Here is a 21,229-nt window from a genome sequence, read left to right on the forward strand (position 1 = left end):
TGAACAGAGTGAGTATCCTGTGAACATGCTGGGACAGAGGATAGGGCATAGGAAGACAAAAAGGGACTGTCATCAACTTTGGTGCTAAACGAAGGGAAAGAGGAGCAGGTGGCCCAGATCTGGATGGGTTTGGATGTTTAATTGCATGAGGAAGCAAGTCAACAGCTGCGAAGGAGAAGAGGGAAATTTAAAATAATCCTGGTGGAGGGGAGGAGCCTGTATTTGGCTAAAAGACCAGACTCTGTTGAGTGAGTGCAGCTGGTGAGGATGAATTTACAAAGGAGTTGTTGTCCCTATGAGTGACTTTTCCCTGGCAGTTCTTGAGAATAGAGTTATTTGACTTTTTATTGTCTTCTCACGCAAAGGAGTCCCTTCTAATTTGACTTTGTCATTATGGGAACTTTTTCCCTACAGATCCATAAGGAGGAAAGAAATGAAGGGATGGTCAGCAAAAAGCAGTTTAATTACTACTAAAAATAGCATAGGCCGGGTGCAGTGGCTCACAACTATAATCCTAGCACTTTGGGAGGCTGAGATGGGTGGATCACTTGAGGTCAGGAGTTCGTGACCATCCTGGCCAACATGGCAAAACCCTGTCTCTACTAAAAATATAAAAATTAGTTGGGCTCAGTGGCATGTACCTGTAATCCCAGCTATTAGAGAGGCTGAGGCAGGAGAACAGCTTGAACCTGGGAGGCAGAGGTGGCAGTAAGCCGAGATCATGCCACTGCACTCCAGCCTGGGCAACAGAGCGAGACTCCATCTTAAAAAAAAAAAAAAAAAAAGCATAGACAAGGCATGGTGGTTTACGCCTGTAATCCCAGCACTGTGGGAGCCTGAGGTGGGAGGACTGCTTGAGCCCAGGAGTTCAAGACCAGTCTGGACAACACAGTGAAACTCCCTGTGTAGCTAGGCATGGTGGTACATGCCTTGTATTCCCAGCTACTTGGTGGGAAGTGGGGAGGGAGAATAGGGTGGACTGCTAAGGCAGGAAGATCACTTGATCGTGGGAGATCAAGGCTGCAGTGAGCCATGATCGTGCCACAGCACTCCAGCCTGGGTGACACAGTGAAATCCTGTCTCAAAATAAATACAAATTTTAAAAGTATGTTCAATTCATTAAGTTTGTCAAGTAAAACAAGTAAGCAACATCAGACACAGAGAGAGGTAGAAAAACTCAGAAGTTTCTGAAAGGGACATTACGGACAACTGTTAGGGGAAGGCTGGTGGTAAGTTTTTCTTATCACCTTAATTCAGAGGACACTCTCACTACTTTTTGCAACATGGTTGGGTGACTAAGCCCTTGCTCAGAGTTCAAAGTCCTAATGCTATTAATCTCTGAGATGATTCTCTGAAGAGGGTAGGACGCAGATTGTCTACGTCTGAAGTGGCTGTGGGTGCAGAAGATATCTAAACATTTGCAATTTGTTTGTTCCTTCTTTGCCACAACCCCACCCCCACTCCATGCAATCTGCAGATTAAATACACATGAATTGTTTCCTGTTATGAAAATCTCCTCTGCTGGGTGCAGTGGCTCATGCCATGACTGAGATCACGCCATTGCACTTCAGCCTGGGCGACAGGGCGAGACTCCATCCCAAAAAAAAAAAAGAAAATCTCCTCATGCCCAGGGCTCATAAGAATGGCCTTGGGCCTTAGGGGATGGTAAATTACATGCTAAGAGAATGTGAACATGGCTAAGTTATTTTGTAAAGGGGAAAAGGCATTAGGACCTTGGCATCCTTAATGAGAGCAGAATACTGACTAATGCTCCATAGAAAAGATTAGCAAATCTGTAATGACAATATTATTAAAAAGAAAAAAAAAAAGCCAGTCCTCTGGGGTTCAGAGGAAGGAAAAGTCTCAGGTGTCCTGCCTGGAAAGCTATGTCTGCATCTAAGTACTGCCAGAGCCCCAGCTCTGTGGGTCTGCAGGGCTGTGCACCAGAAGACCGAAAAGCTGCTATGGAGTCACTGGTCTGCTTTGATGGGTAGCTGCTGTTTGTTGGGAAACTGCTGTTTTCAGGTAGGGAAGGATGTGATGTCAGGGAGAACCCAGCCAGAGTTGAGATTTCCTTGCTGTTTGAAGGTAGATTGTCAGCGTGGGCTTGTTTCTGTGGGTTATGTTGACCTGGAAGTCTTCCAGCCCTTAGATCCATAGGGCTGGTTCTAGGCAAGAAGGTCTGTGTCTCCCTCCTGAGAAGCCTCCGATACCCCCTGACTCTGGGAGAGACTTCTAGGCATCATTCTAATAACCCAGCTTCAAACTTACTGCCTATGCAGAGAGCTGATGTGAAAGTATTTGCATTTTGAAGGGGGACTCCACAGGACTCAAAGAAATGCATTTCATTTTGTTTTGTTTTAAGATAGTCTCACTCTGTTACCCAGGCTGGAGTGCAGTGGCACAATCTAGGCTCACTGCAACCTCTGCCTCCCAGGTTGAAGCAATTCTCCTGCCTCAGCCTCCTGAGTAGCTGGGACTACAGGCGTGTGCCACCATGCCTGGCTAATTTTTTGTATTTTTTGGTAGAGATGGGGTTTCACCATGTTGGCCAGGCTGGTCTCCAACTCCTGGCTTCAAGTGATCCACCTGCCTCGGCCTCTGAAAGTGCTGGGATTGCAGGCGTGAGCCACCACATCTGTCCAGGAATGCATTTCTAATGGTGGAACTGCAAGTACGTAGAGTGAAAAAGATACTTTGGGCAGGATGTTCTACCCTGTGCTGTTCAAATTACCTGTTAAATAGGAATCAGGTAATTTGTGGGTATTAGTGGGTAGCCACCCACTTCATCCTTTTGAGAGCCTGGCTCTGCCCTTTGGAAGTTTAGAAACATCTGGCTCACCGTTTTTCTGAAAAGTATGCTGACTTCAGTCAGTTGTAAGGACTTACTGATAATGAGTATTTACAACTAGACACTATTAGTGGACAGCAGGTTAAGTGCTTTTCTCTTTCAGAGAAAAGGTTTTATTATCTCCTTTTTTTTTTTTTAGGGGGGGACAGGGTCTCACTCTGTTACCCAGGCTGGAGTGTTGTGGCATGGTGTCGGCTCACTGCAACCTCCATCTCTCAGGTTCAAGCAATTCTCCTGCCTCAGCCTCTCGAGTAGCTGGGATTACAGGCACCCACTATCACACCCAGCTAATTTTTGTATTTTTAGTAGAGACCATGTTTCACCATGTTGGCCAGGCTGGCCTCAAACTCCTGACCTCAGGTGACCCACCCGCCTCGGCCTCCCAAAGTGCTGGGATTACAGGCGTGAGCCACCGTGCCCGGCTGCCTCCTTTTTATAGAACAGGAACAACAGGAGCCCCAGGAGCTGGTGCTGCGGCCTGCAGGAGACATGAAGTTAGCACTTTGCCTCTCTCCTGAGTCTATATGGCCATCCACAACAAAGGAGGAAGCCAATTAAAGATAATAAGCCTAAGGAAAGCGATGTCTTCAGATTATTTTCTACTTCAATTGAGTTGGGGCATCTGAGTTTCTTAATTACACATTTTTCTTTCATTTATGCTTTTATTAGTGATTTTCCATGGCTTGGGCTTTAAGAAAGCCACTTTAGCAACGAGGCACTCTGACACTGGGGTTGTTATAACACACATGAGAGATGTTTCTAAAACACACAGAGGATTTGGGTCACAGCTATTCAGTACAGGGTTGTCTGCTGTATCTATTTTAATGATTTAATAATTAATGAGTTCAACATGCTCTGGTTCAATTTTTTTCTTCAATTAATACTAACTTTCAAATTATTTTCTGAGATTGGGAATAGTAATTGTTATTCATTTTCAGATAATAGCACTCTTCGCAGTTTTTTTTTTTTTTTTTTCGAGACAGAGTCTTGCTCTGTCACCCAGGCTGGAGTGCAGTGGCATTATCTCGGCTCACTGGAACCTCTACCTCCAGGGTTCAAGCGATTCTCCTGCCTCAGCCTCCCAAGTAGCTGGGACTATAGGCACGTTCCACCATGCCAGGCTAATTTTTTGTATTTTTAGTAGAGACGGGGTTTCACCGTGTTAGCCAGGATGGTCTCGATCTCCTGACCTCGTGATCCGCCCGCCTCGGCCTCCCAAAGTGCTGGGAATACAGGTTTGAGCCACTACGCCCGGCTCTTTGCAGTTTTAGTATTTTAATATCTTTTTAGCCAACTCTGCCACATATGAGCTCTGTCACGGCTTATCTATTAATACATTCTCTGCCTCAGTTTCTTCATCTGTAAAAGGGACATAATAATAGTATCTTTTTTTTAAGAGGTGCTGGGGAATGAACCCAGGGAATAACAATATCTTAATCACAGCATTGTAGTGAAGAGTAAATAAAGAAATTCATGTAAATCATGCTCTTATTACAGTTCTGGAACCCTCTACCAAGTTTAGCTATTATTAACATTATTATAATTGTTTTGAATTACAAAATTAGTATGTGCTTGTTATTAAAAAAAAAAAAAAGAAAAAAGTTCAGGCCGAGTGTAGTGGCTCATGCCTATAATCCCAGCACTTTGGGATACTCAGTTGGATCGCTGAGCTCAGGAGTTCGAGACCAGCCTGGACAACATGGTGAAACCCCATCTCAACAAAAAATACAAAAATTAGCTGTGCCTAGTGGTGTGTGCCTGTAGTCCCAGCTTCTCGGGAGGCTGAGGTGAGAGGATCACTTCAGCCTGGGAGGCGGAGGTTGCAGTGAGCCAAGATCGTGCCACTGCACTCTGACCTGGGTGACAGAGTAAGACTCTGCCCCCAACAACAACAACAACAACAAAAGGCGAGGCACTGTGGCTCATGCTTGCAATCCTAGCACTTTGGGAGGCTGAGGCAAGAGGATCATTTGAGGTCAGGAGTTTGAGACCAGCCTGGCCTGGCCAACATGGTGAAACCCTGTCCTACTAAGAAATACAAAAAAATGAGCTGGGCATGGTGGTGCGCACCTGTAATCCCAGCTACTCAGAGGCTGAGGCAAGAAAATAGGTTGAACCCAAGAGGCAGAGGTTACAATGAGCCAAGACCAAGCCACTATACTCCAGCCTGGGTGACAGAATGAGACCCTGTCTCAAAAAAAAAAAAAAAAATTCAAAACAATCTAAAACATAGAGGTTTATAAAGTAAGAAATGATAGCGTCCTCTCTTGACCCAGCCCCACCCAATCCTGCTTTCTGGAGATAACCACTGTATTTGGACCACAGTCTTTCCAGGCATACTCATGCAATGTCTTGGAACTTTGCCTGTCCCATCTAACAAATTGACCATGACATCTCTCCACAGCAGCTCTGCGGGAAGCACCTCTTTACATAATATGGGTATCATCTGACCTTGCCTGATTTGTATGTGGCTCCAGTATGTGTTTAGAGTGTCTTTCACATTACTGTGTAGTTAAACCCTCCTTCTTTTCCTTAGACCTACTGGGTTTTGTCTAATGCTTTTAAAGACCTTTGCAGTCAGGAGCATTGAGAAATACACTTGCCAGGATTGGAAAATGAAGAGGTCCGGTGTGGTGGCCTGTAATCCCATCATTTTGGGAGGCTGAGGCAGGAGGATTGCTTTAGTCCAGGAGTTTGAAACTAGCCTAGGCAACATAGTGAGACCTCGTCTCTACAAAAAATGATAAAAAAAAAAATCAGCTGGGCATGGTGATGTACTCCTGTAATCCTAGCTTCTCAGGTGTGTTAGGTGATAGATCACTTGAGCCCAGGAGGTTGAGGCTGCAGTGAGCTCTAATCATGCCACTGCATTCCAGCCTGGGCAACAGAGTGAGACCGTATCCGGAAAAAAAAAAATCCACTCAAAGGTATTTGTCAAAAAAACAAGTGGATATTCAAAAAGAGAAAAAAAACTGAGTGATTGTTACATCTTTGACAGTGAGATGTTTCTATTAATATGCTTTTTAAGTTGAAAGATAAAGTTGTATATATTTACCATGTACAACATGATGTTTTAAAATACACATACATTATGGAATGACTAAATCTAGCTAATTAACACGGGCATTGCCTCACATAGTTTTCACTTTTGTGGTAAGAACACTTCACATCTGCCCTCTTAGCATTTTCCAAGAATACAATGTATTATTGACTATCACCACCACAATGTATAACAGATCTCTTGAAGTTATTCCTCCTATTTAACTGGAATTTTGGCCATCATCTCTCCAGACTGTCCTCCTCACAACCACCTCATCTCCTGGTAACCACCAGTTTACTTTCTCTCTCCTCTTTTTTTCATTTTTATTTTTTTGAGATGGAGTGTAGCTTTGTCGCTCAGACTGGAGTGCAGTGGCACAATCTTGGCTCACTGCAGCCTCTGCCTCCCACATTCAAGTGATTCTCCTGCCTCAGCCTCCCAAGTAGCTGGGATTACAGGTGCATGCCACCATGCCCAGCTAATTTTTGTATTTTTAGTAGAGACAAGGTTTCACCATGTTGGCCAGGCTGGTCTCCAACTCCAGACTTCAGGAGATCCGCCCGCTTCAGCCTCCCAAAGTACTGGGATTACAGGCATGAGCCCCCATGCCTGGCCCACCATTTTACTCTCTACCTCTGCAAGATCAACTTTTTTGGTTTCTACATTTAAGTGAGATCACACAGTATTTGTCTTTCTGTGACTGGCTTATTTCACTTAACATAATGTCCTCTAGGTTCACTGCGTGTTGTTGCAAATGACAGGAGTTTTCTTTTATGGCTAAATAGTATTCCATTGTTTGTATATACCATATTTTCTTTATCAGTTTATCCATTGATGGACACTTAGACTGATTTCTTTCTTCCTTTCTTTCTTTTTTTTTGAGACAGAGTCTCACTCTGTTGCCCAGGCTGGAGTGCAGAGGCGTGATCTTGGCTCACTACAACCTCCACATCCCGGGTTCAAGTGATTCTCCAGCCTCAGCCTCTTGAGTAGCTGGGATTACAGGCATGCACCAACACACTCGGCTAATTTTTGTATTTTTATTACAGACGGGGTTTCACCATGTTGGCCAGGCTGGTCTCAAACTCCTGACCTCAAGCGTTCCATCCACTGTGGCCTCCCAGAGTGTTGGGATTACAGGTGTGAGCCACCGTGCCCAGCCTGGTCAATTTCATGTCTTGGCTATTGTGACTAGTGATGCAAAGAACATGGGAGTGCAGATATCTTTATGAGGTAGTGATTTATTTTCCTTTGGATATATACCTGGTAGTGGGATTGCTGGATCTTATGATAGTTCTATTTTTAATTTTTTGAGGATTTTCTATAATGCTTTCCAAAATGACTATACTACTTTACATTTTCACCAACAGGTACAAGGGTTCCCTTTTCCATCCTCACTAGCACTTGTTACCTCTTGTCTTTTCTTTTTTTGTCTTTTTTTTTTTTTGAGACGGAGTCTTGCTGTTGTCACCCGGGCTGGAGTGCAATGGCATGATCTTGGCTCACTTCAACCTCGGCCTCCTGGGTTCAAGCAATTCTCCTGCCTCAGCCTCCCGAGTAGATGAGATTACAGGTGCCCGTCACCACTCCTGGCTAATTTTTGTATTTTTAGTAGAGACAGGGCTTCACCATGTTGGCCAGGCTGGTCTCAAACTCCTGACCTCATGTGATCCACCCGCCTATGCCTCCCAAAGTGCTGGGATTACAGGCGTGAGCCACTGCACCAGCCCGGCCTACAGTGTGTCTTTTTGATAACAACTATTCTAACCGGTGTGAGGTAATATCTCACTGTGGTTTTAATTTGATTTTCCTTGATTATTAATGATGTTGAACTTTTTTAATACATCTATTGGCCATTTGTATGTCTTCTTTTGAGAAATGTCTATTCTGATCCTTTGGCCATTTTAAAATCAGGTCATTTCTTTCCTTGCCATTAAGTTGTTTGAATTCCTTATGTGTTTTGGATATTAACTCCCTATTAGATGCATAGTTTGCAAATATTTTCTCCCATTCTGTAGGTTGCCTCTTCACTTTGTGGTTTGCTGTGCAGAAGCTTTTAGGTTGATGTAATCCCATTTGTCTATTTTTGCTTTTGTTGCCCATGCTTTTGGAATCACTTCAAAGAGTCATTGCCCAGGCCAGGCGTGGTGGCTCGTGCCTGTAATCCCAGCACTTTGAGAGGCTGAAGCAGGTGGATCACCTGAGGTCAGGAGTTTGAGACCAGCCTGGCCAACATGGTGAAACACCCTCTCTACAATCTACAAAAAATACCAGGGCATGGTGGCACGTACCTGTAGTCCCAGCTATTAGGGAGGCTGAGACAGGAGAAACGCTTGAAGCTCAGGAGGGGGAGGTTGCAGTGAGCCAAGATGGTACACTGCACTTCAGCCTGGACGACAGAATGAGACTCTAGCTCAAAAAAAAAAAAAAACAAACTTGAAGATAGGCAGCATTGTAAGCACATAAAAATCTTTATCACCGGCCGGGCACAGTGGCTTACACCTGTAATCCCAGTACTTTGGGAGGCTGAGGCAGGTGGATCACAAGGTCAGGAGTTCGAGACTAGCCTGGCCAACATGGTGAAACCCCGTCTCTACTAAAAATACAAAAATTAGCAGAGCATGGTGGCTTCGCGCCTGTAATCCCAGCTACTTGGGAGGCTGAGGCAGGAGAATAGGTTGAACCCAGGAGGCAGAGGTTACAGTGAGCCAAGATTGCCCCACTGCATTCCAGCCTGGGCGACAGAGCAAGGCTCCGTCTCACAAAAAAAAAAAAAAAAAAAAAAGGAGTTTACAGTCCATCTGATATTTTTTCTTCTTGGCTGTCAACTTACTGTTTAATTATGCCTTTAGACTACTGCATGATTGAAAAAGCACTAAGATGTCTTTTTTTTTTTTGTCTTTTTTTTTTTTTTTTTTGAGAAGGAGTTTTGCTCTGTTGCCAGGCTGGAGTGCAGTGGTGCAATCTCAGCTCACTGCAACCTCTGCATCCTGGATTCAAGTGATTCTCCTGCCTCAGCCTGCCGAGTAGCTAGGACTACAGGCGTGCGCCAACACGCCCAGCTAATTTTTGTACTTTTAGTAGAGATGGGGTTTCACCATGTTGGCCAGGATGGTCATGATCTCTTGACCTTGTGACCCACCCGCCTTGGCCTCCCAAAGTGCTGGGATTACAGGCGTGGGCCACTGTGCCCAGCCTTTTTCTTTTTCTTTTTCTTTTTTTTTTTTTTTGAGACAGAGTCTCGCTCTGCCCCCCAGGCTGGAGTGCAGTGGCACGATCTCAGCTCACTGCAATCTCCACCTCCCAGGTTCAAGTGATTCTCCTGCCTCAGCCTCCCAAGTAGCTGGGACTACAGGTGCCCACCACCATGCCCAACCAATTTTTGTATTTTTAGTAGAGATGGTGTTTCACCATGTTGGCTAGGCTGGTCTCGAACTCCTGACCTCAAGTGATCCACCTGCCTCGGCCTCTCAAAGTGCTGGGATTACAGGCATAAGCCACCGCACCCGGTATAACCCCATCTCTACATAAAATACAAAAGTTAGCTGAAAGTGGTGGCAGGTACCTGTAGTCCTAGCTACTTGGAAGGCTGAAGTGGAAGGATGGCTTAAGCACAGGAGGTGGAGGTTGCAACGAGCCAAGATTGTGGCACTGCACTCCAACGTCGGCAACAGAGCCAGACCCTGTCTCAAAAAAAAAAAAAAAAAAAAATGCCTTGAGACTCATTAATTATTATACTTAACCCTTGAACTTTTGTGACGTTTCCTTATCTCTTTCTTAAAGCCAAGTCCTTAGATGAGAAAGTAATTAGATCAAGGTTCAGAATGGCAAAGAGAGATAAGATAATTGCAAATAACATCATCCTACTTTGAAAGAGCTATTTTGGTCTTTCAACTAAAATGACTTTTTCTGCTGAAAGAGATTTGGCTGAAGTAGCTGGCTCAGCTGATGGCAGAGAATCAACAAAATATGAAGAGCTTCATAAAATTGTGGCATAACCCAATTTATGCAGCCATTATATAATCAATGGCAAAACAGAAGGGAATCTAAAACAATTTATAATTTACTTTGGGAATACAATAAACTATTTTGTTGTCTCTGGCAAGATTTTGTTGTGATGCTTATTTCAATTAGTTTTCATTTCTTAGGCATGGACTAACTAAAAGTGTCAAGACAGTATGGTCGGAGGCATGCTTATGAAACTGCCTTTGCAAAAATTACAACTGAGAAAATTATGACAGTGAAAGAGATCTGACCTAACTGACTCCATCTTGCTTCTAACCTCCAAGCTGTCCTTGTTCATTCCTGGGTGTAGGCTGCACTAACTTTGGGAGTTTATGGCTTCACTTTGAAACAAAGATGATAACAACCCTTCCCCAAAACAAATCCCTTTCCTGGAGACTAGACTGCCTTTGCAGGACTAGTAAATAAGCCTCAGGGTTAGAAATCATGGTTTAGGATTCATGCAGCTGGCTGGCGGTGGGGAGGGGGGAATCACTTGAGGTCAGGAGTTCAAGACCAGCCTAGCAAACCTGATGAAACCCCATCTCTACTAAAAATACAAAAATTAGCCGGGTGTGGTGGCACGCACCTGTAGTCCCAGCTACTTGGGAGACTGAGGCAGGAGAATCGCTTGAATCCCTGAGGCGGAGGTTGCAGTAAGCCAAGATAGCACCAGTGCACTCCAGCCCGGGTAACAAAGCAAGACTCCACAACAACAAAAACAACAACAACAAACTAAGACCAGTGCTTGAGATATTTTCCAGACCTTGCACTTGACGGATTAGCTGGCATCGCTCAGATCAATAAACAGGCTCATCTGGTCTTGTGGCCCCCACCCAGGAATTGACTGAGTGCAACAGGACAGATTCGACTCCCTATGATTTCATCTCTGACTTGATCAATCAGCACTCCCCACTTTCTGATCCCCCTACCTACCAAATTATCCTTAAAAAACTCAATACCTGAGTTTCAGGTACTAATCTGAGTACTAATAAACTCTGGTTTCCCGTGCAGCTGGCTCTGCATTTATTACTCTTTATCTATTGCAATTCCCATGCTTGATAAATCAGCTCTGTCTAGGCAACGGGCAAGAAGAACCCACTGGGTGGTTACACTTATGTGGCAAAAAAAGTCACTATCGACTTCAGAAATTTGCACCAGCAGCCCACAGAAAGAAAAATAAGGCTCATCATGGAAAAGCCACAACAGAATAAATAAGAGTTAATTTATACCTAGACTTTTTTTTCAAGCAAAGGTAGACACTAGCAAAGGCTTTAAGGTTTGTTTCACTGATAACAAGCCATGAAGAAGTCATGTTTCTGAGATTTCTTAGAGGGTATAAAGTTGAGTGGGTTGTGAATGAGGAGTGGGGAACAGGTGAGACCTGGGAAAAGACTTATTTATTCGTGCATATAACAATGATTTCACTTATATGTGAGTCACTGAGCTGGGCTCTGAAATACAAGCAGAGAAAAAGATAAACGTGGTCTTTGCCTTTGAGATACTTACAGTTTGGTGGGAAAAGCAGAAAGGACAAAGGAGTTTAGAGCAATCTGGGTAAACAGAGGAAAGTGAGCTATTCTTGCAAGGGACCACTAACTCTTTTCAGATAAGTCAGAGAAGGTTCCTGGAGGAAAAATTGGTTAAAGCTGAGATTGTAAGGAAGATAAACATCAAAGAAGAGAGAAGAGTGTTCGTAAGGGAAGAAATTGCATGGGGGAAGAGCTCAGAATTGAGAGAAGGCAAGCATGGAGTATTTAAGGAAAAGAAAGTCCGGGCATGGTGGCTCACACCTGTAATCCCAGCACTTTGGGAGGCCAAGGTGGCGGATCATCTGAGGTCTGGAGTTCGAGACCAGCCTGACCAACATGGTGAAAACCCATCTCTACTAAAAATAAAAAAATTAGCTGGGCATGGTGGCACATGCCTGTAATCCCAGCTGCTCAGGAGGCTGAGGCAGGAGAATTGCTTGAACCCGGGAGGCAGAGGTTGCAGTGAGCCAAGATCGCGCCACTGCACTCCAGCCTGGGCGACACAGTGAGACTCCATCTCCAAAAAATAAATAAATAAATAAATAAATAAAAGGAAAAGAAAATAGTGTATAGGTAAAATATTTATCTTAAGTCCAGGACTCCTAATTTATGGGTTATTATTCCAATTTAGGCATCGATAGGAGGCTATGAGTATACACTACTCTTTCAAGAAAATGGTGAAAGGGGAAAAGAGCCCTCAGTTTTGTTAAATTTTATAAGAGGCAATTGATTTGGTCTGACCTCCTCCACTAGGCCCCAGCAGGCCAGGCCAAATCAGAACTGAGTTACTTGTGCTAAGTGCCATGTAATCAAACTGAACTTTGAAACAAGCCCATCTTCCAGAAAACGGGAGATTCCAGTCAATCTGAGTAAATATAATAAGGAAGTCTTCTCTGTTTTAACCCTACAAGGAAAGTAACTTTGAAATGATCAATTTGCAGGGCCGGGTGCGGTGGCTCATGGCTGTAATCACAGCACTTTGGGAGGCCCAGGCGGGAAAATCACTTGAGATCAGGAGTTCAAGACTAGTCTGGCCAACATGGCAAAACCCTGTCTCTACTAGAAATACAAAAATTAGCCGGGCATGGTGGTGCACGCCTGTGATCCAGGTACTAGGGAGGCTGACACACAAGAATCACTTTAACTCAGGAGATGGAAGTTGAGATCGCACCAGGACACTCCAGCCTGGACGACAGAGTAAGACTGTCTCAAAAAAAAAAAGAAAAAAAAAAGGACGATCAATTTGCTTTTTGTTCAAATCTCTTTCTGCATTCTTTAGCCCCTTTTCTGCCTATGAAGCTAACCTTGTCTGCTCAGCTCATTGGAACATTCAATCTTATAGAATGAGATGCTGCCTGATTCTAGAATTGTAAACAAAAGCCAATTAGATCTTTAAGCTAAATCTTAATTTTGTAATTTTGTCTTTAGACAGTCTCTTTTTTGTGGTCCTGCAGTTGTGGCAGTTATGTAGTTATCTGCATGCATCAGAATATTACAATATTTTCATCCTCATCTTTAATTTCTACTTTTCATATTTTTAAAATGTAGACATTCAAGTTTATTTATTTATTTATTAAAACCATTTTGTAGGCCGGGCACGGTGGCTCACGCCTGTAATCCCAGCACTTTGGGAGGCCCAGGCAGGCGGATCACGAGGCCAGGAGATCGAGACCATCCTGGCTAACACGGTGAAACCCCGTCTCTACTAAAAATACAAAAAATTAGCCGGGCGTGGTAGCGGGCGCCTGTAGTCCCAGCTACTTGGGAGGCTGAGGCAGGAGAATGGCGTGAACCCGGGAGGCGGAGCTTGCAGTGAGCCGAGATGGCGCCACCGCACTCCAGCCTGGGCAACAGAGCGAGACTCCGTCTCAAAAAAAAAAAAACAAAACCATTTTGTAGAGACAAGGTCTCCACTGTGTTGCCCAGGTGGGTCTTGAACTCCTTGCCTCAAGTAATCCTCCCATCTTGGCCTCCCAAAGCAGTGGGATTACAGGGGCATGCCACCCCACCCTCTCCAAGACATTGAATTTTATTTATTTTTTTTTTTGAGACGGAGTTTCGCTCTCGTTGCCCAGGCTGGAGTGCAATGGCACGATCTTGGCTCACCACAACCTCCACCTTCTGGGTTCAAGCGATTCTCCTGCCTTAGTCTCCCGGGTAGCTGCGATTACAGGCTGCACCACCACACCCAGCTAATTTTGTATTTTTAGTAGAGACAGGGTTTCTCTGTTGGTAAGGCTGGTCTCGAACTCCCGACCTCAGGTGATCCTCCTGCCTCGGCCTACCAAAGTGCTGGGATTACAGGCGTGAGCCACTGAGCCCAGACGAATTTTTTTTTTTAAAAGGCAAGGTCTAGCTCTGTTGCCCAGGCTGGACTGCAGTGGCAAGAACATGGCCAACTGCAGCCTTGACCTCTCAGGCTCAAGCAATTCTCCCACCTCAGCCCCCCAACTACCTGGGCCTACAGACATGTGCCACCATGCCTCGCTAATTAAAAAAAAATTTTTTTTGTAGAGACAGTGTCTCCCTATGTTGCCCAGGCTGGTCTCAAACTCCTGGCCTCAAGTGATCCGTCTCAGCCTCCCAAAGTGCTGGGACTACAGGCGTAAGCCACCGCTCCCGGCCAACATTTAAATTTTTGAATATTTTTTCTGTTCCCTTAGGGTTTACCAAGCACATTTATCGACAAGCCTCCTCAGGAAATTGCCCAAAATAGCCACATGTGGCAAGCCTCATTGACAGGCCAAAAGCCTCAGTCAACATGGCCGCGACCGGCTTCCATTGCCCTTCACTGCCCGCAGTAAGGATGGCTCCGGTGACTTCCTTCGAACCTCACATTTCCCATAAAAAAGATGGCGCCATTGCTTCCGCGTTCCGGTTGCGGATGGTGAGTGTGTCGGGGGGCTTGGCGGCTTTTCTCCTCAGTTTTCTGGAGTGCTTTGGAGGAGAGGTAAGCGCGGGATGGGATGGGGGGGGGTTGGAGTGGTGGGGGCGGGGGTCACAGCAATGCATCTGATCGTTCTCTCTCAATTAGGAAGTTATGGAGGCTTTCCTAGGCATGTCAGGATTTCCTGCTAGCTCCCCGCCCCTTCCGCCCCAACACACGGTGTCTGCAGCCTGTGCTTTGGGGAATTTTGGGAATTTGTGGATAGTGAGTATGGATAAGCTTCGGTTTTGTTGTTTTTTTTTAAATTTTTTCAGTGACCTGCCACTTCAGGAGGTTCTGCTAAAAAACCAACAAACAAAAAAACAGCTTTCTTGGGAAATTTCTATTCACCTACTAAGTAAAATTTGCCCATTTAAAGCGTAAAAAAAAATCAAGCCTAGCATAGTGGCATTCGCCTGTAGTTCCAGCTGCTCAGGAGACTGAGGTGGGAGAATCGCTTGTGCCCCGGAGTTCCAGGCTGCAGTGAGCCCAGATCGCGCCACTGCACTCCAGCCTGGAAGACAGAGCAAGACAACGTACCCAAAAATAAATAATAAAGGGTAACATTAAGGGTTTTTTTGTTGTTGTTGACAGAATTGTGCATCTATTACTGTGATCTCATTTTAGAATACTTTCATCACTCCAAAGAAAAATCCTGCCTCCAGTAGCAGTCATTCTACATTCACCACGTCCACTCCGCCTCAAGTCCTAGACAATTGCTAGTATACTTTCTGTCTGTATAGCCTTGCCAATTCGCACGTTTGATATAAATGAAATCATACAGTGCAGCTGGCTTCTTTCATTAAGTATAATGTCAATGTTTTTGTGACTAGCTTCTTTCATGACTTTTGTTCTTTTTTTAAACGGAGTCTCATGACTCTCACTCTGTAGCCCAGGCTGGAGTATAGTGGCACGATCTTGGCTCACTGCAACCTCTGCTGCCCAGGTTCAAGCTAGTCTCCTGCCTGAGCCTCCCGAGTAGCTGGGACTACAGGCGCCTGCCACCACGTTCGACTAATTTTTGTATTTTTAGTAGAGACGAGGTTTCACCATCTTGGCCAGGCTGGTCTTGAACTCCTCAGCTCTTGATCAACCTGCCTCAGCCTCTCAAAGTGCTGAGATTACAGGTGTGAGCCACCACGCCCGGCTATCTTCTTATACTATGTATAATATTTTCAAAGCTTGTCTTTGTATCATGTGTCAGACTGTTAGCAAATAAATAAAACTCTGTAAACTATTTTAAAGCGGTTTATTCTGAGCCAGTATGATTGACCATCGCCCAGAGAGAAAACACAAACCCAAAAAGTCTTTAGTAAGTGATCCCGAGGCAGTTGGGTTATAGTTTGTTTTTTTTACATTTTAGGGAGACAGGAGTTAACAGGCAAAGACATAAATCAATACATGGAAGGTATACATTGGTTAGACCCAAAAAGGTGGATATGTCCAAGGGTGGTCTTAGAAGTCTTAGGTGGATTTTAGGGATTCTTTAGCTGACAGTTGCTTGAGAGAGTTAAGCTTTGTCTAAAGACTTGAAGTCAGTAGAAAAGAATGCTTGAACTAAGATAAGGGAGTTGTGTGGTTCAAGGTCCTTGTTACGTAGATGAAGTGTGAGTAGCAGCCTCAGAGAATAGATGGGCTAGGTGCCATGACTAGAGATGGGCTGGGCTCCATGGCTCACACCTGTAATCTCAACGCTTTGTGAGGCCGTGGCAGGCAGATCACTTGAGGTCAGGAGTTCAAGACCAGCCTGGCCAACATGATGAAACACCATCTCTACGAAAAATAAAAAAATTAGCCAGGCACGGTGGCGTGCGCCTGTAATCCCAGCTACTTGGAAGGCTGAGACACAAGAATTGCTTGAACCCAGGAGACAAAGGTTGCAGTGAGCTGAGATCGCACTACTGCACTCTAGCCTGGATGACAGAGTGAGACTCCATCTCAAAAAAAAAAAAAACAAAAAAGAGAGAATAGATGGTAAATGTCTCTTTTTGGAAATTTAGGTGTCAGAATTAATCTTTCCTGGATCTGGGAAAGGCCTAGAAAAGGAAATCCTGGCTGCATTAATGGAGATTCTCTACAGATGCAAATTTCTGTTACAAAAGACAGCTTTGTAGCTTTGTAGGGCCATTTTAAAATATGTCAAAGAAATATATTTTGGGGTTTTTTTTTTTTTTTTTTGAGGCAGAGTCTTTGTTCTGTCACCCAAACTGGAGTGCAGTAGTGCGATCTCGGCTCACTGCAACCTCTGCTTCCCAGGTTCAAGCAGTTCTCCGTCTCAGCTTCTGGAGCAGCTGGGATTACAGGTGTGCACCACCACACCTGACTAATTTTTGTATTTTGTTTGTTTGTTTGTTTTTGAGATGGAGTCTTGCCCTGTCACCTAGGCTGTAGTGCAGTGGCGCAGTCTCAGCTCACTGCAACCTCCACCTCCTGGGTTCAAGCGATTCTCCTGCCTCAGCCTACGGCGTAGCTGGGATTACAGGCACGCATTGCCATGCCTAGCTAATTTTTTGTATTTTCAGTAGAGATGGGGGGGTTTCACCATGTTGGTCAGGCTGGTCTCAAACTCCTGACCTCAAGTGATCCACCCGCCTCTGCCTCCCAAAGTGCTGGGATTACAGGCATGAGCCACCGCACCTGGCCGACATAAAATATTTTTATTTCATTCAGGGTTTGCTATCTGTCATGTGATGCTATACCAGTGTCAGGTTGGAAGATAAGCCACATTATACCAGGTTAATAAAAAAAGAAAATCCCATTTAACAAGATTTTATGGTCTGTAGGATGTATCCTAACCTATGTCTTGCATGGCCTAGGTCTTGTTTATAATTTGGTATCTTTTTTAACAATATATATAAATATAAAACATAGAGACAGGGTCTTGCCGTGTGGCCCAGGCTGGAGTCGAACTCCTGGTCTCAAAGGATCCTCCCACCTCGGCCTTCCAAAGTGATACAGAAGCTAAAAAGAAATTAATTAGGCAGTTAGCGAGGGTTAGGGAGTCCTTGGTAAAGTTTTCCTTTTAATAAAAAGCAGCCCCAAATCATTTCTAACAAAAAACAGCCTGAAAAATCAAGCTGCAAGCGTAGATAAGCAAGCTGGAAGCTTGCATAGGTAAATGCCGGCAGCTGTGCCACTAGAAAAGGGATTTCTGGAAGCCAGGTATATTCAACATAGAGGTTTCCTCTTCCCTTTACTTTGTCGCCACGTGTACAAGCAACATGGCACTGGCCAGGTTAAATCTCTATTTGTATAATAAAAGATTAGGGTGGGATGGCCAGCCTCTTAGCATGCTTTGTTAAAGGCACACCTGGTCCAACCAACCCTCTCTCTGTGCCCTATGTAAATCAGACACTGGCTCCTCAAGCTCATCTATAAAACCAACCTCATCTTGCCCCAAATGGGGGAGATCCGTTCGGAACCCCCCTCCCTCTGCATGGGAGAGCTTTTCTCTTTTGCCTATTAGACTTTCCTCTCTTAAACACACTCCTTGTGTGTTAGCGTCTTTGATTTCCTTGTCATGAGACAGTGAACCTTGGGTATTACCGCAGACAAACGACGCCGCTTCAGAAGTGCTGGGATTACAGGCATGAGCCACCACACCTAGCCATAATTTGGTATCTTATTGCCACAGAGTCTGTTTTGTCAGTCATATGATCTATTTTTTTTTCTTGAGACAGGGTCTTGCTCTGTCACCCAGGCTGGAATGCAGTGGTGTCATCTCAGCTCACTGCAGCCTCAACCTCCTGGGCTCAAGCAATCCTCCCATCTCAGCCTTCTGAGTAGCTAGGACTACAGGCAGGCACCACCATGCCTGGCTAGTTTTTGTATTTTTTGTAGAGTCGGGTTTTCACCATGTTGCGCAGGCTGGTCTTGAACTCCTGGGCTTAAGTGATCTTCCTGCCTCAGCCTCCCAAAGTGCTGGGACTACAGGTGTCAGCCCCTGCACCTGGCCATGATCTCTATTTTTAACATTAATGCTGGTCATTTGTGCCTAAACTCCAAAAAGAGGTGGTTATAACAAGGTATGTCTGACCTCCTTTCCCATTGTTGATGAAAAAAGCCAAACTCTGTAAAATATTTAAAGAGGTTTATTCCGAGCCAAATATGAGTGACCATGGCCCGTAACACAGCATCAGGAGGTCCTGAGAACTTGTGCCCAAGGTAGTTAGATTACAGCTTGGTTTTATACATTTTAGGCCTCAAAATGTATAAATGTTTGGGGAGAGGGTTTCAGGTCATAGGTGAATTCAAACTGATTGGCAATTGGTTGCTTTGCCTGAAGTGTTGAAATCAGCATAAAGAAATGCTTGAGTTGGGCCGGGCGTGGTGGCTCACGCCTGTAATGCCAGCACTTTGGGAGGCCGACGCGGGCGGATCACCTGAGGTCAAAAGTTCAAGACCAGCCTGGCCAACATGGTGAAACCCCATCTCTACTAAAAATACAAAAATTACCTGGGCGTGGTGGCACATGCCTGTAATTCCAGCTACTCGGGAGGCTGAGGCAGGAGAATTGGTTGAACCTGGGAGGTGGAGGTTGCAGTGAGCCGAGATCGTGCCATTGCACTCCAGCCTGGGCAACAGAGCGAGACCCTGTCTCAAAAAAAAAAAAAGAAAAAAGAAGAGAAATGCTTGAGTTAAGGGGGTTTGTGGGAGCCAAGGTTCTTGTTGTATAGATGAAGCCTCTAAGTAACAGGCTTTAGAGAGAATAGGTACTAAATATCTCTTACAAGGCCTTAAAAGAGGCTTCTGGATGAGACCTACTAAGGCAGGGATCCTCAATCCCCGGGCCATGGACCAGCACCAGTCTGGAGGTGAGTGGCAGGCGAACTAGCATTACTCTCTGAGCTCTGCCTCCTGTTACATCAGTGGTGGTATTAGATTCTCATATGAGTGTGAACCCTATTGTGAACTGCACATGCAAGGGATCTAGGTTGTGTGTTCCTCATGAGAATTTAATGCCTGATGATCGGAAGTAGAACAGTTTCATCCCAAAACCGTCCCCCCACCCCCAGTCCATGGAAAAATTGTCTTCCATGAAACTGGTCCCTGGTGTCAGAAAGGTTGGGGGCTACTGTAGTAAGGGAAGAACATTTTCTTTTTCTTTTTCTTTTTTTTTTTGAGATGGAGTTTCACTCTTGTTGCCCAGGCTGGAGTGGAATGGTGTCATCTAGGCTCACCACAACCTCCGCCTCCCAGGTTCAAGCGGTTCTCCTGCTTCAGCCTCCCCAGTAGCTGGGATTACAGGCACGCACCACCGCGCCTGGCTAATTTTGTATTTTTAGTAGAGACGGGGTTTCTCCATGTTGGTCAGGGTGGTCTCAAACTCTCAACCTCAAGTGATCCGCCCACCTCGGCTTCCTGGAGTGCTGGGATTACAGGCATGGGCCACCACGTCTGGCGGGAAAAACATTTTGATAGCATGCAAATGTCCCCTCAAAAGATGGCTTTGCAGAGCCATTTCAAACTATGACAAAGAAAATATGTTTTGGGGTAAAATCCTTTGATTTCCTTCAGGGCCTGCAGTCATGTGATGCTATACCAGAGTCAGGTTGGAGTTGCGTATCTTATTGCTATGAAGAATCTGTTTTGTCAGTCTTATGATCTCTATTTTAATGTTAAGGCTGGTCAGTTGTGCCTACACTTCGAAGAGAGAAAAGTATAAGGAGGCATCTCTGACCCCCCTTTCCATCATCGCCTGAACTAGTTTTTCAGGTTTTCTTTGTGGCTCATGTCTGTAATCCCAGCACTTCGGTAGGCCAAGGTGGGAGGATTGCTTGGGCCTAGGAGTTTGAGATCAGCCTGGGCAATATAGTGAGACCCCCATCTTTACAAAAAAAAAAAATTTTTAAGCATTATATTGATCTTTAGTGACCTAAATATCAAAGATATTTCTATTTGGGGGACATTGCCATCTTAAAATATTAAGTCTTTTGATCCACGAACATGGGATAGCTTTCCATTCCTTTAGATCTTTTATTTCTTCCAACATTTAAAAATAGTTTTCAGTATACATCTTACATGTCTTTAATGTATTTCTAGGATTGTATTCTTTTCTATGCCATTGTAAATGGAATTGTGTTCTTAATTTTGTGATCATTTATTGCTAGCATACATAAATATGAATGATTTTTCTGCATTGATCTTGTATCATGTGACCTTGTTTAACTTTATTCATTCTATAAGATTTTTTTTAGCAGATTCCTTAGGATTTTCATTTTCTTTCTTTCTTTCTTTTTTTTTTTTTTTTTTTGAGATGGAGTCTCACTCTTGTAGCCCAAGCTGGAGTACAATGACAATCTCAGCTCACTGCAACCTCCGTCTTCCATCAGCTTCCCAAAGTGTTGGGATTACAGGCGTAAGCCACCACATCTGGCCTAGGATTTTCTATATGTAAGATCATATCTGCTAATAGAGATAGTTTTACTGTTCCCTCTCCAATCTGAATGTCCCTGCCTAATTGCCCTGGCTAAGGCTTCTAGTACAATATTGAATAGAAGTGATAAGAGTAGACATCCTTATCTTGTTCCTAATCTTTGAGGGAAAAGCATTCAGTCTTTTACCATGAAGTATGGTATTAATTATGGGTTTTTCTTTTTCTTTTTTTCTTTCTTTCTTTTTTTTTTTTTTTTTTTGAGACAGAGTTGCTCTGTCACCCAGGCTGGAGTACAGTGGTGCAATCTTGGCTCACTGCAACCTCTGCCTCCTGGGTTCAAGTGATTCTTCTGCCTTAGCAGGAGAGTTACAGGGTAGCTGGGATTACAAAGTACACCACCACGCCCAGCTATTTTTTGTATTTTTAGTAGAGATGGGATTTTACCATGTTGGCCAGGCTGGTCTCGAATTCCTGGCCTCAAGCAGTCTGTCCACCTTGACCT

At 44.5% G+C, this 21,229-nt stretch overlaps 1 protein-coding gene across 10 annotated transcripts in view, besides 1 other annotated feature; it reads left to right on the forward strand.

The window, feature by feature from the left end:
* Positions 14,089-21,229, forward strand: part of SHLD1 (shieldin complex subunit 1) — a 114,203-nt gene continuing 107,062 nt past the window's right edge. For 5 of the 10 annotated variants that reach the window (NM_001303477.2, NM_001303478.2, NM_152504.4 and 2 more), the window contains exon 1: positions 14,297-14,375. Coding sequence is in view for 5 of the 10 variants with exons in the window: in XM_047439931.1 (XP_047295887.1) it covers positions 14,310-14,375; positions 20,608-20,744 (203 nt within the window). In the remaining 5 variants the exon portion in view is untranslated. Of the gene's footprint in view, positions 14,376-20,607; positions 20,745-21,229 lie in introns of all 10 variants that reach the window. The other 5 variants (XM_011529177.3, XM_011529182.3, XM_047439931.1 and 2 more) reach the window with 4 other exon arrangements.
* Positions 14,123-14,172: an enhancer, noted in NCBI's record as "active region_17527". NCBI's record gives its function as "activates an Ori minimal core promoter by ATAC-STARR-seq in GM12878 lymphoblastoid cells {active_cell/tissue: GM12878}" and the evidence as "EXISTENCE:reporter gene assay evidence [ECO:0000049][PMID:35858748]".

Source organism: Homo sapiens, chromosome 20, assembly GCF_000001405.40.
Source record: "Homo sapiens chromosome 20, GRCh38.p14 Primary Assembly".
NCBI lineage: Eukaryota > Metazoa > Chordata > Mammalia > Primates > Hominidae > Homo > Homo sapiens.